Consider the following 21,657-nt stretch of genomic DNA (forward strand, 5'->3'; position numbering starts at 1 on the left):
AAAACCCTTTGGTTAGGATTCAAGGCCAACTAAACTGCAGCTCTGCCTTTACTCTCCAGCCTTACTTTCTCCATCTGCAAAATGGGAGGGAGGCATTGGAGGTATTTTGTGAAAATCACTTAATACTGTGCTGACACGTAATCTTTCAATAGAAGATAAGTGAAACATATAAATATAAAATATGAAATAAATAGAGAATAAACAAGGTGAACAGAGGCCAGGCGCAGTGGCTCATGCCTGTAATCCCAGCCCTTTGGGAGGCCAAGGCGAGTGGCTAGCTTGAAGCCAGGAGTTCAAGACCAGCCTGGTCAACAGGGTGAAACCCCCTACTAAAAATACAAAAATTAACCGGGAATGGTGGCACGCACCTGTAATCCCAGGTACTCGGGAGGCTGAGGCACAAGAATTACTTGAACCCAGGAGGCAGAGGTTTCAGTGAGCACTCCAGCCTGGGCGACAGAGCGAGACTCCATCTCAAACAAAAACAAAAACAAACAAAACAATGTGAACAGAAACCTATACACTCCACTCTGAAATCCCAGACAAGTTCATCTTAGATGATGTGGCCATTCGGGTCATCAGGGGAAACAACGCTGTGACCAGCCTGCCTTCTGTGACGTGGCACCAGTTTCCAGTGTCACGCAGATGTCACAGCCCTGACCAGGTTCCATGCACACCATGGAACCCGTTTGTTTAAGTTTGTTTATGGCTCTGAAAACCAAGGCATGAAACTTTAATGTTTTCCACATTACACACCTGAGAAGTGATGTTGGGTGTTAGCACAGAATACCAGAAAGCATTTCTTTTTGGCCACCGTGAACATAGACCCTATTACTTTGAAGTTTGTTTCCTCCACATTTTATTGGTGAAAATGTCAGCCTGGTTCAGTCCATCCTTCAAAGATGTGTGGCTCCTTTTATTCACAAACACCCCACAACTCCTCACTGCCATTGGCCACACCTGACTTCCTTCTGTCTCCCGTGTTCCAACGTTACATTCTTTTTTCAGAGACCTCTCAGTTACTCCTGGTTTTTAAAACCTGATTGATCATCAGTGACTGGACAAACACTTTTTAATTTCCCAAGAACCACAGACAAAAACCATGGTGAGGGATCACTGGGATTTAATCACAGATGAGATTTAATCTGTTTATTTTTAGCTTCTTTATGAAAGTTGTAGTTGTAATTTTTTTCCTTCAAAGCGACCCAAGGAACCCTACTTGCATGGTTGGTGTATGTTGAGAACACCCCTTGTCCTGGGCTTAGAGGGTTCTGGTGAGATTGGCTCACATTTCCTTGACCAGACTCAGGATAGAAGCTCACCGTGGCCATGCTAGCCATCTTCCCCTCCCCAGAAGTGAGGTGATATTGTTTGGAGATTTGTCCCCACCCAATCTTATGTTGAGACATAACCCCCAGAAGTGAGGTGATATTGTTTGGAGATTTGTCCCCACCCAATCTTATGTTGAGATATAACCCCCAGAAGTGAGGTGATATTGTTTGGAGATTTGTCCCCACCCAATCTTATGTTGAGACATAACCCCCAGAAGTGAGGTGATATTGTTTGGAGATTTGTCCCCATCCAATCTTATGTTGAGATATAACCCCCAGTGTTGGAGGTGGGGCCTGGTGGGAGGTGCTTGCATCACAGGGGCAGATTCCTCATGGCTTGGTGCTGTCCTCGCCATGGTGAGTGAGTTCTAGAAAGATCTGGTCCTTTAAGTGTGTAGCCCCTCCCCTGTCTTACACCTGCCCCTGCCATGTGACCTGCCTGCTCCCACTTCCCCTCCCGCCATGCGTAAAAGCTCCCTGAGGCCTCCCCAGAAGCCCAGCAGATGCCGGCACCATACTTCTTGCACAGCCTGCAGAACTGCAAGCCAATTAAACCTCTTCTCTTTATAAATTACCCTGTCTCATGTGTTTCTTTACAGCAATGTGAGACAGGCCCAACACGTGAGGACCCCCTCCTGAGCAGTGCCCTCAGTGGGGGAAGGACACAGGGGGTCCCCGGCCTGTGCACCCTACCCACCTGCCACAGTCATGGCTCTGTCATGGCGGTCTCTTTGTGGTTGGGTGTCTGGGTCTTCCCTGCCCTCCCATTTCCTCTTCTGCTGGGTTTGAGCCTCCTGGCTGCTTGCAGGGCCACAGCCCCAGTGCAGCGGGAGAGGAGCCTAAAGCAGCCTCAGGAGCAACCCAGGGCCTGGGATGTGGGGGTGGACAGGGTGGGCAGAGGCCAGAGGCCAACATGACGCCCTGGGCCCTCTGTGGAGATTGTTATTGCTGCTCACAACAGCCTGTTGAAGAAGCTATGTTGTCTGGGGTAAATACCCGGGGTTCATTGTCTCACACCAGGAAAACTGAGGACATGGACACACATGAGGAGTTTAGGAATGGAGGTTTAATAGGCAAAGGAGAGAGAAAGAAAGAGAAAGGAAAACAGCTTTCTCTCTAGTGAGAGAGAGGGGACTTCCCAGAGGAAAAGGCTGGCCAGCAGATGCGCTGGATTTTATAGTCAGGTTTGAGGAGGCGGTGTCTGGTTTACATTAGGGCTTACAGATTGGTCCCATCAGGTATGACGTTTATATAGCACAGGGGGAAGCCTGGCCGCCCCACCCTAATCTTATTATGCAAATGAACTTTCCTGTTGGCCAGGCCATCTTGTCTGCCCCTTACTGTGCACGTGGCTGACAAAGAGAAGGGAAGATGGAGTCACCGTCTTGAACTTGACTGGCACAACTGCCGGCATCTATGTCTGCAGCTCGATTTTACAGGCTGCTCTTTGTTAGAAAGGAAACTAATTTGGGCCTGCTTTACATGAAAAGGAAAACCTTACTGAGGACTTCCGTACCCTCACTATCTGCCTAAGTAATTTCTTCTTAACTCCTGGATCACTGTAAGGCCGGCATCGCTTCCATCCTAGAGGAGAAAGCCTGCATTCGGGGAAGTGAAGTGCTTTGCCCACTCCATCTGTCCACCACACGCCAGCCTGGAGCTGGTGCAGCAAGGCCAGGTGTGTTCTGCAGCCTCCAGGAACAGAATCCCACCCGCAGCCGCAGGGTGCACGCCCAAGGTCCTGTGTGACAGTTAAGCCGGACTCAGGGCTGCTTCAATGCCTAGGACGGGGGAGACGTTCCTGCTCTCCGGAAGCTTCAAGAGGAGTTAATGGCCACAGTCAGAAATGCTCAGGGACTTCCATACTGGGCAGGAAGTTGACCCACCCAACCCCAGAGTCCCTCACAACCCTAACATTCCCTGAGTGCACGCAAGCAAATCGAACAGTTCAATAAGTTAGCTAAACTGCACCAGGCGCAGTGGCTCACACCTGTAATCCCAGCACTTCGGGAGGCCAAGGTGGGCCGATCACTTGAGGTCAGGAGTTTGAGACCAGCCTGGCCAACGTGGCAAAATCCCATCTCTACAAAAAAAAAAACAAAAATTAGTCAGGCATGGTGGCTCATGGCTGTAATCCCAGCTACTCAGGAGGCTGAGGCATGAGAATTACTTAAGCCAGGGAAGCAGAGATTGCAGCGAGCCAAGATGGCACCACTGCACTCCAGCCTGGGCAATAGCATGAGACTCAGTCTCAAAAGAAAAAAAAAAGTTAGCAAAACTGTAAAGAGCAGTTTATCCAAAGGCCGAAGCAAAGGGAGGCAAGGACATCTTCAGCTCCCACTCCCTCTGAAGTCAGCATATCTCATCTCCACGCCATCCAGCACTCTGCATCCCTCCCCTACTCCACCCTGCAGTCAGCATCCCATCCCCACTCCCCTGCAGTGTGCATCCTCCCCAACTCCCCCTGCAGTCAGCATCCCTCCCCAACTCCCCCTGCAGCCAGAAAACCTCCCCCACTCACCCTGCATTCAGCGTCCCTCCCCAACTCCCCCTGCAGTCAGAATCCCTCCCCAACTCCCCCTGCACACAGCATCCCTCCCCAACTCCCCCTGCAGTCAGAATCCCTCCCCAACTCCCCCTGCAGCCAGAATCCCTCCCCCACTCCCCCTGCACTCAGCATCCTTCCCCCACTCCCCCTGCAGTCAGAATCCCTCCCCAACTCCCCCTGCAGCCAGAATCCCTCCCCCACTCCCCCTGCAGCCAGAATCCCTCCTTGGCACTTTCCTTTCTCCCCTTCCCCCCTATTCCCAGAAAAGCAGGACAGCACCCTCCTGGCTCAGAAGTGTCCCCTGGTTCCCATTTCTCTGTGTCCCTTTCCTTCCAGGTGGTGTGAGGGTCCAACTCTGACTTAGGATCTAGGAAACAAGAGTTTCCAGCCACGCGCTGCCACTGAACAGCTGGGAGGTCTTGGCCAAGTAACTTCAACTCTGTGGGCCCCAGTTTCTCTGTCTGTAAAATGAATGGTGGGGCCAGGCTTGATCTCTAAAGTTTCCCCCAAGCACTGGAGTTGGGACTCTGATCCGTGATCTAGAGAATCAGGTGCTACTTCTCCCACGTAGCATTTTACCACCATCTGCCTCCGTGGGCCTTTGGAGGGGAGTAAATACAGCCAAGGCGACTCCAATCTGGGGCACTCTCCACAGGGGAGGGAGCTGACTCCTGGAGTGGGATCGCCCCACAGAGATGCTGCAGGTCACCCCCCTCCCCTGGCTAAAGCGTTTCTCAGGGAGGAAATGGGACTTGGCCCAAGGTTGTCCGCAGGGGCCTGGGAATGAGTCACCCTGGAGTGTGGCCCTTGTGGAGAGCATCCTGTGCCAGCCTCGCCCCCTCCCAGTGTTCTGGGGCCCCTCTGTCAAGGCTGCTTTCTCCAAGGCTGAAAGGGCCCTGGCTCTTTCTCACAGCTCCTCTCTGCTGGGAGCCCCGCTTGCCATGGCCACCACGCCAGGAGGTTCTTTCCATGTTTACTCGCTTTCTAGCCCATGAGACCTTTCTCTTCTCCCTCTAATCCTTTCTGCCCTATGCAGGCATCCCTAAGAGGCCTCACTTCTGTCCTTAATGACCCGCAGCGTGGGACCCCATGCTGGCTCTGTCACACCGAGTGGAATCCCATCTTCCTCATTATTTTCCTTGCATTTTCCAACTTATTTTCTCTGGAAAATCTTAAAATTTGAATTGCTGCTTTGTGGGGACAGTTTCAAGTTTGAGTCAGGCAGGATCAGAGCACCTGATTCTTATTTGAATACGATAAACCTTTATTATAACTCTTATTTTAGGGTCGGGGTACCTGCGCGGGTTTGTTATATCGGTTAACTGCATGTCACAGGGCTTTGGTGCACAGGTAATTTCATCCTCCGGGTAATAAGCCTGGTACCCAGTAGGTATCTCCTCTGATCCTCTCCCTCCTCCCACCCTCCGCCCTAAAGTAGCCCTGGTGTCTGCTGTTCCCATCTTTGTGTCCATGTGTTCTCATCACTTAGCTCCCACTTACAAATGAGAACATGTGGTATTTGGTTTTCTGTTCCTGCATTAGTTTGCTAAGAGTAATGGCCTCCAGCTCCATCCACTTCCCTGCAAAAGACACCATCTCATTTTTTTATGGCTGGGAAAGATTCCACGGTGTATGTACACCACAGTTTCTTTATCCAGTCTACCACTGATGGCCATTTAGGTTGATTCTCTGTCTTCGACAGCACCTGATTCTAAAGGAATAAGGAGAGTAGTTTGATCCAGTGAGAAATGAGACAGATGTGGGGGGCATCTTTACCGAATGGTGTCCCCGCTGCATAAGCAGAGATGTGTTGCAAGGGATCTCTGGATTATAAGCTCCTGTTTTTATCATATCCCCTCATGTGTTGACCAGGTGCTGCTTGCCCAGCATGCTGTGAACCTGCACTGAGAGGGAAGGTGGTGTCTCCGGGGGTGGGAAGCAGCAGCCTCAATTTGCTGGCAGGGCCCTGAGCACCTAACCTAGGGGGGAGCGCCTAACCCAGGGGGAGCGCCTAACCCAGGAGGGAGCGCCTAACCCAGGGAGGGGCACCTTACTCAGTGGGGACCGCTTAACCCTGGGGGAGCGCCTAACCCAGAGGGGAGCGCCTAACCCAGGGAGAAGTGCCTAACCTGGGGGGAGCACTTAACCCAAGAAGGAGCACCTAACCCGGGGTGGAAGCAGACACCTCTCACGGGAGCTACCCCAAACTCTGCAGAAATCATCTGAGTCCCTTTGTTCCTCCCCTTCTCATTCACCCCTTCTTCCTGACCCTTTTCTTAATCCAGCTTCTTTTTATCTCCTTTTCCTCTTTCTCCATCTCTGTGGCCTAGTCCAAGGATCTCTAGTGGAATTCCGGGGCAGCTATTGGTCCACAGAAACAGAGCAGTGAAGTCCTCCAACAATGCAATGAGTTACTGCAAATGAAGGGAAGCACGTGGGTGGAAACAGGCGGGGCCGACCCAGGGAAGGACAGAAATGGGGCTGATAAAGGAAGAAGAAGGCCATGCATGGTGGCTCACGCCTGTAATCCCAGCACTTTGGGAGATGGGCAGATCACTTGAGTACAGGAGTTTGAGACCAGCCTGGGCAACATGGCAAAACCTCGTCTTTACAAAAAATATACAAAATTAGCCAGGGGTGGCGATGTGCACCTGTGGTTCTAGCTACTTGGAGGCTGAGGTGGGAGGATCACTTGAGCCTGGGAGGCAAAGGCTATAGTGGCTGAAATCACATCACTATACTCCAGCCTGGGCAACAGAGCAAGACCCTGCCTCAAATTTTTTTTTCAAATATTAATAATAATAGAGAGAAACTGAGTCCGAGTGCCCACTGCCCCTGCTCCCCAGGGCAGGGAGAGGGGATGCAGGGCCAGGCCGTGCTGGACCCGGGCCATGAGTGCCCCTGGGTACCTGGTGGCTCTGAGTGGTTTTCTTGTAAACCATCTGAGCTGGCTCAAAGGAGCCTCTGCTAAGTGGGGTGACAAATGTCATTCTCCATTGAAAGAAGGAGATCCTCTGCCTGACACCTAAAGAAGCTCCCTGGTGTCACGATTCCCCCCTGGCCACTAATCCAACTCTGGAGGCTGTGCTTCATTTCCTCCCTGGTCTCAGCTGTGATCCCTGTGCTTTCACTCCCTTCCCCACCAAAACCCATAAGCTGAGCTCTTTAGAGCAAAGGGCTATTTTTCTGCCCTTTCCCCTACGTCCAGTATGCCCATCCCCTGATGCATGAGCACCACCCCCAACCCCACTTAGAGGATATCGTGCACACTGCACAGGCCAGCAGCACCTCGCCGCCTGGCCTCCCACATCTGCTTCATGATGAGGCTACCAGCGTCCCAGAGAGTGGAACTCAGGTACAACGTGATCAAGGGGCATGACTCAGCTTTTTCTCAAACAGTTCTCTTTGTATCAGTTCGCATATCTTGGACAGTCTTCACTGAAGGGTGAGGATGGGGAAGAAATTCAATTCATGTGTTGAATGCCTATTTGACTAAGTGCAATGCCACTTCACAATGCTTATTAAGGAAGAGAAATAAAAATTAATTTTAAAAAGTTAGGGTCACAAAAGAATATATACAAATGACCAAGAAGCATGCTAAAAAAGTTCTTGTTTTCATAAATCATCAGGGAAATGCAAGTCAACCACATTAAAATACACCACACATTCTCCAGAAAGGCAACAAATAGACTAGGTCACACCAGGACTCAGACATTGTTGTGGGGGAGTAAAATGCTGCCATCATTTCAACTATGACCCACTCATTTCACTCCTGGATATTTATCCAAGAGAAAGGAAAACATTCATACACAAAATTACTTGTGCAAAAATGTTCAAACAGCCCAAGTGTCCGTCAATAGGAGAAGGAATGAAGAAACCACAGTATGTTCCCACAATAAAGGAATAAAAGTCAGTGAGCTAGGCCAGGGGTGCCGTGGCTCACGCCTATAATCCCAGCACTTTGTGAGACCAAGGCACTCGAATAATTTGAGGTCAGGAGTTCGAGACCAGCCTAACCAACATGGTGAAACATCACCTCTACTAAAATTACAAAATTAGCCGTGTATGGTGGTACATGTCTGTAGTCCCAGCCACTTGGAAGGCTGAGGCAGGAGAATTGCTTGAACCCAAGAGGGAGAGGTTGCAGTGAGCCAAGACTGCACCATCGCACTCCAGCCTGGGCAACAAGAGCGAAATTCCATCTCAAAAAAAAGAAAAAGCGGCAAGCTAGGGACACCTGCACCACCGTGGATGAAACCCAGAACTTCGCTGAGTAAGACAGCGTGCTGCAGATTCCATCTACACAAAGTTCTAGAAAAGACAAAATAGTCTATCGTGGAAAAAAACAGGAACAGTGATGATGTTACTTCTGTGTGGTCAGAGATTGACTGGGGCAGGCCGCCGGGGAACTTTATGGAGTGATAACTTTATGGGGTGATGGGAATGTTCTAGAACTTGACAGAAGTTTGGGTTATAAAAGTGTTTGCATTTGTCAAATCACCAGCAAATATACACAAGAAATTTGTGTTTCCTGGTAAATTGTTCCTCCAAAGAAAAATAAACCATAAAATGTTGGATAAAAAAAGTCATGGTCCTTCCCGGAAGCGGTGTAGGAGGGAGGACTGGCGAGAGTGCAGCTGACCCCGTGTGATCGCAGCCTGCTGTATGTGAGAGACGCAGTTGCAGTGAGGAAAGCACGTGCCCCTCACTCCACATTTGTGGGCAAAATGTCAGGAATCCAAGGAACACTATTCTTAGAACTGGACGTTTTGGGACAGTCCCTCAGTGCAATCCTCAAGGGCAGTAGCCTGGACCGATCCGAAGACCCTGCCACGCCCCCTCTCCCAATGCCGCTGCCACCAGAAAAGACAACTATCAGAAACTTCCAAGCTGAAAATCCTCAGTGTTGCAAGGGCCAGTCGAGGTTGTCTTGTTCCACTTCCCACCCAGTGCAGGAACGCCTGGACCTGGCAAAACCCTGACACAGGTCAACCAGATGTTTTGTGTCTTCTGACCTGCAGCAAGTAGAAGTCCCTGCAATGCTTTCTGTCCAGCAACGTTTAACTCGAGGCCATCAGCGGTTTAGCTATGAGCGCCAGTTTACAGGCAATGCAGGGGTTGTGCAACACAGCCGGCCCAAAATAAGCCAATACCATAAAAAGAGGACTTCAGGGACACAACCACCAGTTAACATGCATGGCCACGGACTGGTTACTGGTTTGAACGAAGCTACCAGAAAGAACACACAATTTGAACACAGACCAGGTATTAGAGAAGAAATGTGGCAGACTAGAGAGATGGAGACTGTTGTGTAAAGCAGGCTACCCAACGGGATACACATTCTGTCTTATTCTGAGACACGGTTTCTTCAGGAGGATGTACCCTGAGCTAGTCACAGTGACGATCTCTGAGCCATAAAAATGTAGAGTTTTTACTCCTTCATTTTCTGATCATCTCTATTTTCTAAGTTTCTACCATCCGTATGTGCCACATCTGTCGCAGGTTGAACTGTGTCCCCCAGATTCATGTGTTGAAGTCCTAACTCCCAGGACCTCAGAAGGTGACCCTGTTGGGACAGAGGGTTATTGCAGGTGTCATTAGTCAAGTTAGGATGAGGTCAAACAGTAGGGTGGGCCCCTAATCCAATATGTCTGGTGTCCTTATAGAAAGAAGGAATGTGGACACAGACCCACATGCAGGGAGATGCTGTGTGAAGAGGAAGGCAGAGACCAGGATGATGCTTCTACCAGCCAAGGAACACCAAAGACCACCGGCCACCTCCGGGTGCCGAGGTGAGTCCTGAGCCACGCCTCCCTTGGGGCCTCAGCAGGACCCAGCTGCGACTGCACCTTGGCCTATGACTTCCAGCCTCCAGACCCTGTGCGGTGCATTCTTGTTACTTAAGCACCCAGTCTGTGGTAATTTATGTTGGCCAGCAAACTAACATCTATAACCATACAAATGACTTGAAATTTAAAAATAAAGTGGCCTGAGTGGGGCCTGCATGGGGTGCCCGGAAGACAGAGAGCAAACCCTCGCCCTGCCAGGGGCTCCTGCCTCCCAGGACAGTGGCTGCCACACCACAGGCAGCTCGGGTCACCAGAACCTTCTTCCTCCCACTCTGGGAAGCTGCGGCCAGGCTCTCCCCACGTGGCTTTCCCGGGTCAGTCTCCCGGGAGTTGCTTTTTTCTGGGAGCTGCGTGAGGAGCTGCTGTTCATGGAGGGTCCTGGGGCATGGCAGGGACACCAAACGGGTGCTCCTGGGGCACTCCAGGTCCTGGGGGACACTGAGCCAGGGCGGCCTGATGTCCTCAAGGAGCCGCCAGCCTGGCCCGGAGAGCCTGAGTCTATTATTATAAAGCAAAGCCTCACCCTCCCATGACGTGGCTGGCCTGGGTGCAGAAACCTGAGCTGCTCCAGGCCCAGCAGATGGAAATAACCTCCAAGAATAACCGGCCCGCACCGCACGCCTCTCCTGCCACCGCGGCGGGGCCTGCACTTCCTTCCTAAACTCCCCGGGACAGCAATCCCGCCTCACAGACTCAAATGCCATCAGCGGGAACAATCGGAGGAAGTGTGGCGCTTTCTCCGCTCAGGGAGCGAAACGGGGACCCTGCTTATCAAAATGACAAGATTTATTCAGTTGCTACAAACTACCAAAGACTTCCTTTCCCAAAAGAAAGGCCGGAGGGGAAGGTCATGTCCTTCGGCCACCTCCATTGAGCCAAGAGCACCATCTGCTTTGCTTCAAGCACATCGGTGGCTGACTCCCCGTCCCCCAGCTCTGCCTGCCTGGGGGTAGGTTTGCAGTCTCTCAAAGAGGGGCTGTGTAGGAAGGAGCAACCAGCTCTCAGTCCCTGAGCACGGGAGGCCAGCACCACCTGAGTCCACCGAGTCGTCAGCACACCTGGGAAGGGAAAGGAGGGGAGGGAGGCCTGGCCAAGGAAGGGGAGTTCCGCAGCAGCCCTCACCTGAGCTCCTGGCGGCCTCTGGTATGAACCCCCAGCATGGAGCCAGCACCCTCAGCCCAAGACTCACCCCCTCCTGGACAGTTCTCTGCCTCTCTGGAGTCCCTCCTCTCCCTCCCACCCCCAGCAGCCACAGGAGTCTTCCTAAAGTCTCATTTTCCTCAAGTCCTTAACCTCCTCCAATCCTTCCCTACTTCTCAACCCTGAGTAGAACACAGACCCTCGGCCAGGCAAATGGGGCCTCAGTCACCAGGCCCCAAGCAAGCCCTACATCCTGTCCTGGCCTTTGTTCAGGCCGCTCCCATTACTTGGGGTTCCCTCTCCTTTCCTGTCCCCAAATGGCCAGGCAGAGCCACCCGCCAAACCCTTCTAGGCCCAGTCCTGTCCTTCTCCAAGCGAGCCTCTGCTTCTTGGCTCTGCAGATGGCACTCTTCATTTCGTGATGTTTATCCTGTGCTCACCCAACAGTGTCCAGGTGGGCAGAGAGCATTCCTAGACCCGGAGGGACTAAAGGAAACCATTCCCTAATCAGAACCAGCAACTCCACGGCACATGGAGCAGATCTGCAGGGGGCCCTTCATTCTGCATGGGAGACGTGGGCCCCGAGACAGCTTTCCCCAGGGTCACAGCACCACGTCTGTGCACCTGGCCCTCTACCACGCTATGCGCGCATCAGGCTGATGAGCCAAGTGCCAAGCAGAAAGGTCACACTCTTCCTCACGGGATCCAAAAAAGGAGATGTGTCCAAGACTGCCCACCACCGTCCGAGGAAGAGCTGAGGGTCCACCGAGTGCCCAGGAGACCACCTGGAATTTCTGGTGCCAGCTTGTTAGTTGACAGAGGAAGACAGCTTCAGACAGCGCCACCCATCCCCGGAGGATGCCTGTCCTCAGCCTCAGAGACCTATTTATGTACTTATTCATTTAATTTTTTAGACAAAACCTCACTCTGTCACCCAGGCTGGAGTGCAAGTGGCATGATCTCAGCTCACTGCAGCCTTGACCTCTGGGGCCAGCTGATCCTCCCACCTCAGCCTCCCAAGTAGCTGGGACTACAGGCTTGTATCACCATACCTGGCTAATTGTTTTTATTTTTTTGTAGTGACAGGGTCTCACCATATTGCCCAGGCTGGTCTCAAACTTCTGGGCTCAAGGGATCTGCCCATCTCAACCTCCCAAAGTGCTGGAATTAAAGGCGTGAGCCACTGTGCTCAGTCAGAAGATGTTTTTGAGCAGAACAGTCTATCAAAGGGAGTGGGGCATTTTCCAGGAGATAGATGAACCCACTTTTGAAGTGGGTATCTACTTTGAAGGGGCTCCCTGAGTCTCCTGATCTAAAAAGCCGAGAACCAGACCCTAGACAGGGGGGATGAATCACTGGCGTGAATGCCTCGATTCTTTCCATTTGTATCCATGGGACACTTAACTAATAATCACGGCACAGTTTCCAGTTAAATATGGACACAGCTTCAGAATCCTTCTTAACACTACAGCTCAGCCAGAGTGGGTGCAAAAGCTTAAGTCCATCTACTCTACAGGCCCTTGATAAGGAGGATTCTCTCCTGTTTACCCAGTGAGGAAACACCCACACAAACAGCCAGCTGGTCCCCTCTTGGGCATCTCCCTGAGCGTGACACTCTCAAGACCTTGCTTGGTCTAACATCCAGCCCTCTCTGAGTTGCTCTCCCACACCTGGCAGCACTGGGCAGTGGACTTGAGTGGGAGAACAACACACTCCAGTTGGCCAACCTCCTCTAGACAGGCCTGGCAAGCTCTCTTAGCACCTGGATGACTCAGCGGCACTTCCAGCGATTCTCTGTGTGCCAATCAACCAATCAACATTTAATTGGGCACCTTTTATGGGCATCCTTAAGCCTGAGCAGAGACTCAGATCCAGTGGATCACCTGATGAAACTCTAAAATGCTGCACTCATGTTAAAAGTGCCTTAAGAAATAGGACGTTTATTATATCATGTAACTAGAAGTGAACCAATCAGAATTGGTTAGGACAGTGCTTGGTCAGAGGAAGGCTTAGGTGCTCCCCACTTCTTCCTCCGCCCTCTTGTCCCATTGTCAGCCTTGGCCTCTGGTCCTGGAAGGGCTGTGTCTGCTCTAGGCATCATTCGTGTAAGAGCCATGGCGTCTGATGAAGAAGAGGGCTTCCTACCCTCACTCAGAAATCAGAAGAAGAGACATCCTTCCCAGAAATGCCCGGCCAACTTCCCTTTGGATCCCATGGGTCTGCACCATGTTGAGCCAAAGCCAAAACTAATCACTCCAGAGGGAAGGAGACCACCACGATTCGCTCAAACCCCCAGGAGGCTTCTTAGGAGAAATCAGCGGCAGAGTCCCCGCTGTCGATAGGCCACAGCATACACAAACTTTGCCTACAATTTTGGGGATTCATATACCCACTAAAGTCTCTCCATAGACCACCCACTAAGATCCCCTGAGGGCCTGTGGGGCAGGCACTGTTAACATGATGAACTTAGCCCATGGAGAAGCTGCATCCAGCTAGGGAGAGACATCACACAGGTGCAGGTCAACTTTGTAGAAGCTGACTCACTAAACACGATCACAGTCAGTGTAATAGCACAAAGAGCAAGCCCACCACTGCCATGCAGATCAGGCGGAGGTATGAGGCCTGGAAGATGCGGACAAACTGAGTTGACTGAAAGGATGGACACGATTCCAGAAGGAGGAAAGGCAGGCGGAGCTGGGACCAACAGGCATTCCACACCCGGAAAAAGCCAAAAGTTTTCACATGACAGAAGAGTTTGCAGCTGCGGTCACAGCTAAGCCATGGCAGGCTGGCTGCAGTGTTTGTATTGAGTCCTTTTGATGACAGCATGAATTCTGAGAACAAAGCTTCCAGGCTGTGGCTGTGTAACTGGAACCCAGAGACAAAAATAGCTTCTCTTCTCATGCATATGTGAGGTCTGATCTGTAAGTCTGAGAAAGAGTTTTTGCCATTTATGAAACTTAGAAGATTCCTCAACAACCACAGATCCTATGAATGAACATTTTTATTTGGCTGGATCCATCAGATTTAATATTCTTTCAGCTATTTGGTAGCTGCCTAACTTCTCCTTCTCATTGAAAAATCCAGTGACTTTTGAAGCTGTTTTGAGATATAAGAATAATAGAGAGTGAATTAGCGGATTAAAAGATCAGCGTTCTTATAATAACATTAAAGAGAGTATCAGGGAGCCAAGTAGTCTTGAGAGAATAAAGCTTTCCTCAAAGAGACAACTCTACACGCTCAGCTGATATTTCTAAATTGAGTCAGGAAATGTTCCAGGGAGGACACAGCTAGCTTGTGCCTTAATTCAGTGCCTGATTTAGATTTGTATACCCTCGTATAGGTCAGTACAAAATGAATCATGGGGAGTCGTGTATTCATAACAGGTGATACAGAGAAATTAAGATAATTTAGTTATGTGTCATTTAAAGTACTTATTAATAAAATAACATACATAGGTGTATCTAAGTTCCTCTACCTACATCAGATAAATTGCATTAACTGATAGCTTCATCTCATCTTTAGCTACATATTTTAAAAATATCCGTAATTAATTATTTCAATAAATTATATTATAAAATAATGTTAAGACTTAACATTATTCTAAATACACTCTCATTTTAATCACCATGTAATATGTTATAGAATTAGTATTCTTATGACAAAGTAACCATTTCTGTATTAGGGGATGCTAACCTATTTTTATTCTCATAATTCTAACTACATGTCTCATTATAAGTATAGCTTTCTCTTAATTTGAATTATTTCATTCTCAGGAAGAGAATGATGAGATCCAAGTGTAGCGTATTCTGGCTTTTGATGAGAATTACCAAATGGTCTTCCAAAGTAATCAAACACATTTGCACTACCGTCAGGAACTCCTGGATATTCCTACTTAACTGTCGGGACCAGCGTCAGTTTTTACCGCGTTTCTGAATTCTCGATCATTTCTCAAGTGCTGTCAAAATGGTGTTGGATACTTGCATTACTTTGTGCTTCGTCACTAATTAGTAACGGTTTTCTTCCCCTAATATTCATTGAATTCATTCATTTCTTTTTTTCCATTTCTGTGAACTGTGAACCCTTCGCCATTTGTCTTTTAGGGACTTTTATGTGCTTGGAGATTTGTAAGAGCCCTTTCTATACTTTTCACATTGAGTCTCTGTCCCTTCTCACAATGATGCCTACTGTTACCATATTATCATTATCCGCCACTCCTTGTTATGACCACATGCCAAGCTCTGTGCTGAATAACTTCGTTACCACAACCCTACAAGGAAGTACTGTCATCCCCATTTCACAGGAGAGAACGTAGAGGCTCCCCACTCACACATTTTGCTGGCGTCACAAGGCTAATGGCCTTGGAGCTGACTCGATGGCGCCTCCTGTCTTCTAATCCCACTCCACAACCGCCCCAGCATTGTCTGTACAGCTGCTGTCTACGCTGATGCGTTCTGTGTCCTGGGGTTTTATGACACGGTGGGTTTTCAGTCTATATGACCACATATGTTCATATTGTTTTAAGTTTTCTCTTTCTCTGCAACCATAGTTACCACTAAGTATGTATTTGTTGACTTTTCTTGATGTGGCATTTTCACGAGCCCCATTGCTTCCTATTCTTTTTTTATAGAGAGATTTTGATGTTCTTGGCGTCACTTGAAGTTGACTGTCACCTCAGACGTGGAGACCTTTTTGTCACAGGCAGAATTTTGCTCTATGGGGATTTTTTCATCCATCTATCTATCTTCATTTTTAAATTTAAGCAATATGATTTTCCACATGGGAGAAGAAAAATGAGGCCTTAAACAGTGGTGCTTTGGTCAAAAGAGTCAAAGTGAAATAAATGTGAGGGATCTAGGCCGCTGCTCCCTAGCTATGGTGCTGAGCGGCTGCTGCCAACGCCAGAGAGAAAGCCATGCCTTTGAGGCTGACGACAAAACCACGCTCTTGGGGGTCAGTCCTCCAATGTTGCCATTCATGGGAACGAGACAGCCCTGCCCCCCTGTGCTCCAGGATTTTGTCTGCTGTTTACCTCCTGTCAAATACCCTGAGACGGTGGCTGGGGTTTGTCCTGCCCATTGGAACTGTCCCATCTCATCCCAACTGGGCCACAGGCTCCATCCACTCTTGCCTCATGAACCCCATCCTGCTGTCCTGCACCCCTCTTAAACTGCCAGCCAAGCCTCTCTTTTAGATACATTCTGTAGCCCTAGGGCTGGTAACCCAACCAACCCCGAGCAATGAGAGCCGTGGCTCCCGGCTGCCATGTCTCCGAGGTGACCAAGAATACTGTCACTGTGGAATGCAGACTGTTGGATTTTCAAACTTGCTGCTGCTCCCACCGCTGCAGCTGTTGTCATTTGAGCAATTCTAATGAGGGAGGTGCTCATTTAAAAGTCGGTTCTTTCAGTCAGCCAATAGGTGAGAAAAGAAAAAAAAAAAAAGTCAGTTCCTACAATTATCCTAAGTAAGAGACCAGATTCCGAACAGCTGGTTCAAAGGAGGAGGTGACTGAGGATGCTGACACTCCTCAGGTCCCCTTTGCTCCACATGACGCTGCCTCTGGAGACATCTGGCCACTCCCTGCAGTCTTTGGGAGCCCAGCACACACAGTGCCCACGCTCTCATTTCCTGCTTTAACTTCTTGGACCACCAGCCTGAGCCTGCCTTTTATTTCAGACTTCGCTACTTTTCGGGAGCTCTCGCATCTGCTGATTTACAGGCCTTGTGCACTCTTTTCTTTTATTGCTGCTGGCATTTCCCTGGCCATCCACGTTGGTCATTTCCACCGCAAGTCTATTTATTTCCCAGTGGTGCACATATGTGTCCAGCTCCAGGCAATTTCGCTTTGTCTGCCTACCTGGTTCTGCAGTCTCTGACTTGCACAGCCAGCCCCTGCTGGGGACCTCATATGAATGTTCTTTTTTTGGCCTGCAGTTTATTCTGTGGCTGTGAAGATCTCCAGCACATCCAATATATGACAGTCATCATCTATGATATTTATCATAATGAGTGAAACTGGCTTAGGGCTTCCTAGGGCTGCCTTTACAACGTACTATAAGCCAGGGGGCTTAAAACAATAGACAATTATTCTGTCACCGTTTGGGGGCTACCAGTCTGAAGTCAAGGTGTTGATGAGCCATGCTCTCTCCAAAGCCTCTAGGGAACGGCCCCTCCTCGCCTCTTCTGGTCCCAATGTTCCTTGGCCTGTGGTAGTGTCGCTCCAGCTCCTGCCTGCTTCATCACATGGCTTTCTCCTGTGTGTCCCTGTCTTCTCTTCTTAGAAGGACATCAATCCTATTAAATTAAGGCTCATGCTAATGACGTCATCATGACTTGATTCCATTTGCAAAAACTCTATTCCCAAATAAGGTCACATTCACAGGTATCTGGGGTTAGGACGCCCTATCTTTTGTGGGGACACAGTTCAGCCCACCATACAGGCAAAGGTGGTCCTTGGCCTCCTTTCCCATCACCCCACCTGACATCTCCCTTCCCAGCTTCCTGGAACCCTTCCTTTCTCTAGCTCCTTTCCCTGCTCCCAATCCTAAATAAAATCTACCCCAGCATGAGGCAAGGGAAGAACCGGTACCAGCTCCTGCTGGGGTGCAATGAAACACTACTTATGCAGCTGCAGGCATCAGTGGAGAAGGCTGGAGGGGGAGGCAGGTGTTTGGGGGGACCTGGAGACCATTTCAGGGAGGCATTTTCTTGGTTTGCTGACGCGAAGACCGGCTTCTACCTGGAAGCCCAAAGCCCTCCAGGATCTGGGCTGGGGTTGCCCTTCCTTGCATGCTCAGCTCCGTCTCCCCTCCCGACAGTGGCTCACCCCTCCAGGGGGAATCGATCGTCAGGGAGAGGAGATATCTGAGCAGAAAATGACCCCAGACCTAGCAGCACAGGCTGATGGGGAGGTCAAAGGTCGCTTCTGAAGGAACAGTGGCAGGCCCAGAAGGCGTCACCCCCGTGCTCCTGGCTTTCACAGAGGAACACGCCGGGGCTGCTGTGCAGACAGGAAATGAGAGGGTCCCGGCTGCGAGGACGACAGAGGATGCTCCCGCGCTTGGGCTCCCTGCCGGCACCATGGCTGAAGTGACTGATGCATCCATCAGGGGTGGCCTGGGCACAGCCTTGAAATCCTCCCCAGACAGTGCTCGGGGTAGCACCTGCGGTCAAAAGACAATGCGGGAATGAAATCTGTGCCATCCCTTGTCTGGACCATCTGGAAGGACAAACATCCGCACATTCTCAACAGGGCTGCCTTTGACCTCCATGGCCGACCTGACTGACAGTTCTCCTGTCCTTCCCACTTCCGGTGAGTAGGGTGAGAATGACTCCGAGAAGCACTCGAGCCACACTACTCTGGGCATTTGGAAACCTTCCTGAGCCTCCTGCAGATAGGGGCAGTGAGGCCGGCCAAGGGCAGCCTGGATGGCATCGTTCCATGGCCTTTGTCCTCTCCTTACAGTTAAAATAAAATCCTGCTGGTTTGAGGTCTTGGCTTGAAAGGCTACTGGCCAGAGGAGGAAGTTGGGAGTGCTCACAGGACCATTTGGGAAGTATTTATCATTGAAGGATGCCATCGTACCTGCAATATTTTGGAATCGGCCATCTCTCTCCAAATTACATGTGCATCCTGTCTTTAAAAATATGCTGCGTCAGGCCAGGCACAATGGCTCACGCCTGTAATCCCAGCACTTTGGGAGGCCAAGGTGGGTGGATCACCTAAGGTCAGGAGTTCAAGACCAGCCTGGCCAACATAGTGAAACCCTGTCTCTACAAAAATACAAAGATTAGCCGGGCATGATGGTGGGTGCCTGTAATCCCAGCTACTCAGGAGGCTGAGGCAGGAGAATTGCTTGAACCCAGGAGGTAGAAGTTGCAGTGACCGAGGTTGTGCCACTGCACTCCAGGCTAGGCAACAGAGCAAGACTCCATCTCAAAAAAAAAAAAAAAATGCTGCATCAAAATTCAAAGTTTTGATGCCTCCTTCAGAAGTTTACTTTCTAAAAAGAATCATTGTTTTCCTTGAAATAACTATCTTCCAGCACACCTGTAAAGTGTATTGATAGCTGCTGGTTACCACACAAGTTGCACAGAGTAAGCAAACTCAGCAACTGCCTGTGTTGACTTACTTCCCCAAAGCCAGGTTGGGAAATAGGGCAGCCCACTGCATATTCAGACCCCCAGCTTGAACATATGTTTGGAAAAAAGGAAGGGAAAGTTTCCCCAGCGTTTGGTGTTTTGGGTTCCTCAGGTTCCAGCCTGGGGCCGGCTGATTGCTCCCCACCTCCTCCGTGGCGCAAGGCGAGGCCTCTTTCCTTGTGCGCCCAGCCGCCCGTCTCCCATCCCAAGGTCAGGCCTGGAGTTCCATAGAGAATTCAGAAGCTTTCTCCATCTGTAATGCACTCAGGGCCCAGAAATCACTCTGGTCAGTTAGCGTTTCCAAGCTCATTCCCAGCTGCATCAGCGTGTCCATCGAAGGACAGAGTGGGAAGCGGCTCCCTGTGCAGAGAGGGAGGGCAGGAGACTTCCTGGGGGACGACACCTGTAAGAGATAAAGCGGAGGATCAGGCAAGGAAAGCCTCAAAGTGCGGTGCAGATCCGACCAAGTCTCGGCCAACCCAGTGAGGGGCCCTGGAGCTAGATGCCCATTGGAGGAATCCAGGGATGAGCTGGGACATCCAGGTCCCCAGACCTCGTGGCTCCACTGAGCTCCATCTGACAGGGGCAGCCCAGGAAGAGTGTGGCTGTGGCCTAGAGCTTAGAGCTGAGCAGGTTGTGGAGGTGCCAGCAGCTTTTTGAAGGATGATGTGGCCATCCCAGGGGTGCAGGTCCACAGCCACCACAGCCAAGACATTTTTGGGGGTGTGTGCGTGTGTTTTGTTTTGCTGCTTTTTAAGTTTCTTTCTAAAAAGGAACCATCTTCTCCCCTCCTTGCCTTTGGCCATTAATGGGAGCCAATGCAACCCAGGTGTCCCTCCTCAGCCACATCCAGCCAGTGCCACTTCTGCTTCAAAGTACGGACAGAATCAAAGTACGTTGAAAATTAGGCTCAGGGCCGGGTGTGGTGGCTCATGCCTGTAATCCCAGCACTTTGGGAGGCCAAGGCAGGCACATTGCCTGAGTTCAAGAGTTCAAGACCAGCCTGGCCAACATGGCAAAACCTTGTCTATATTAAAAATACAAAAAATTAGCCAGGCATGGTGGCAGGTGCCTGTAATCCCAGCTACTCAGGAGGCTGAGGCAAGAAAATTGCTTGAACCCGGGAGGGAGAGGTTGCAGTGAACCGAGATTGCGCCGCCGCACTCCAGCCTGGGCGACGGAGTGAGACTGTCTCAACAAAAAAAGAAAGAAAGAAAGAAAATTAAGCTCAACTCCTAACTGCATCCAGGGAGGGAATCCTAGCTCAGCCTCAGAGGGGATGGGCTCCTCCCCAGTGCAGAGAAGCCCCTACATCAGCCCAGACCGTAGAAAGGAGAAGACAGCAGGAATTCTGGGAATCTTTCTTAGTGTGCAAAAGGGGCCACCTCCATGCAATTCAGGCATGGGGGCCAGGGCAGGTCCACAAAGCCTTGGCCACCTGTGAAGACCAGAAGCCCTGGCCTCGCTGGGGCCACTGAGTCAGGCTCATGGTCCTCGCCCCATTCCCCTCCAGCAGCCCTGTGGCTCCACCTCCAGCCTCCCATCGTTGAGACACAAGGACAGGGATCCACGCCATGAATCAGCTCGAGGGCTTCTTGGCTGCACAGGCCGAACCCTCAGGTCTGAACATCCCTAAAAATAAGGGCTGGTGTCAAGAGGTGGCAGAGAGAAACCCTGACACGGACACAGAAGGGAAAAGCACAGCCCAGGAGCCCCTTTCACATCAAAGCTTCTTTTTCTGGGGATGCCGAGGAACAGAGTACAGGCAAACGGTGCCCTTCACCTTCAGAAATACCCCGATATGCCTACTTTCCAGTTGAGATGACACAGCAGGAAACTTGAAAACTTAGTTTCTTCTGGTTGGAAGGCTCCTCCCGGCCACATGCCCACCGTCCAGTTCCCGCTCCCTCAGTGCCAGGCAGTCCAGAGGCTCCAGGGGTTCGGCTTGGACATAACCGGAGCTCCTCCGACTCCCCAGGCAAGCACTCTGTCATTGTCTTCCAGACTGTTCTCACAGATGCCCCGCAAAAGAGCACAAAAGCAGCCGCCAGAGGCCTGGAGCCCCGCCAAGAGGACAGGGCCCCCGGGACAGAGGGACAGAGGGGGGCTGTGCCCAGGTGGCCCTGAGGCTGCCCAGGACTCACTGGCTCCTGCTGCTCCATCCACACAGCAGACAGAGAAGCTTCCAGTCGGCAAAGGGCTGGGAACGCTGCAGCGCCGGCGCTCGGAATATTTGGATTTTCTGAATGTTAACACACTGGAAGCTCCTAAGGCAGCCAAGAGGCTATGAGCTCAAAAGCTTTGTGAGAGCTTTTCTCGGAGAGCTCGTTAATGTGGTCATTTAATGGCATAGTCTTGAATCCGAATCCTTAACTGGAGCTTTAAATAGGACTGATAAGTGCTCCATAGGCTTTGGGGAAGCGGATCAGGCCCATGTGCCCTCCTTGTCCAGGGGCACTGTTTGCAAAGACCACATGTGGGGCCAGGGCACAGGGGGAGGAGACCCACAGGCCAGGGCTGGGCAATGCGGATCTTGGCATTAAAAGCACAGGCCGGGTAGGATGGCTCCGTGTCCAGAGAGCGGCTTAGTGGAGTGGTAAGAGGCACATTCCGATTGCCTCGCTCCCTGGAGCTGCCTCCAGCA

General features: G+C 50.7%; 1 long non-coding RNA gene across 1 annotated transcript, besides 3 other annotated features; it reads right to left on the reverse strand.

Annotated features, from left to right (window-relative positions):
* Nucleotides 9,641–10,454: an enhancer, noted in NCBI's record as "H3K4me1 hESC enhancer chr6:163756229-163757042 (GRCh37/hg19 assembly coordinates)". NCBI's record gives its function as "activates a minimal SCP1, AML or CMV promoter by ChIP-STARR-seq in naive H9 embryonic stem cells {active_cell/tissue: H9 hESC(naive)}" and the evidence as "EXISTENCE:reporter gene assay evidence [ECO:0000049][PMID:30033119]".
* On the reverse strand, nucleotides 12,786–21,477 carry DKFZp451B082 (uncharacterized LOC401282). Its single transcript, NR_033862.1, has 4 exons — nucleotides 20,823–21,477; nucleotides 19,159–19,416; nucleotides 15,199–18,034; nucleotides 12,786–13,967 (listed from the first exon to the last, which is right to left on the reverse strand). It is a non-coding gene; the product is annotated as an uncharacterized LOC401282 (long non-coding RNA).
* Nucleotides 15,897–16,397: an enhancer, noted in NCBI's record as "H3K4me1 hESC enhancer chr6:163762485-163762985 (GRCh37/hg19 assembly coordinates)". NCBI's record gives its function as "activates a minimal SCP1, AML or CMV promoter by ChIP-STARR-seq in primed H9 embryonic stem cells {active_cell/tissue: H9 hESC(primed)}" and the evidence as "EXISTENCE:reporter gene assay evidence [ECO:0000049][PMID:30033119]".
* Nucleotides 17,661–17,955: an enhancer, noted in NCBI's record as "tiled region #3851; K562 Activating non-DNase unmatched - State 21:Repr". NCBI's record gives its function as "activates a minimal TATA promoter and a strong SV40 promoter by Sharpr-MPRA in K562 cells {active_cell/tissue: K562}" and the evidence as "EXISTENCE:reporter gene assay evidence [ECO:0000049][PMID:27701403]".
* Nucleotides 21,478–21,657: the final 180 nt, after the last annotated feature.

This window comes from Homo sapiens, chromosome 6, assembly GCF_000001405.40.
Source record: "Homo sapiens chromosome 6, GRCh38.p14 Primary Assembly".
Lineage (NCBI taxonomy): Eukaryota > Metazoa > Chordata > Mammalia > Primates > Hominidae > Homo > Homo sapiens.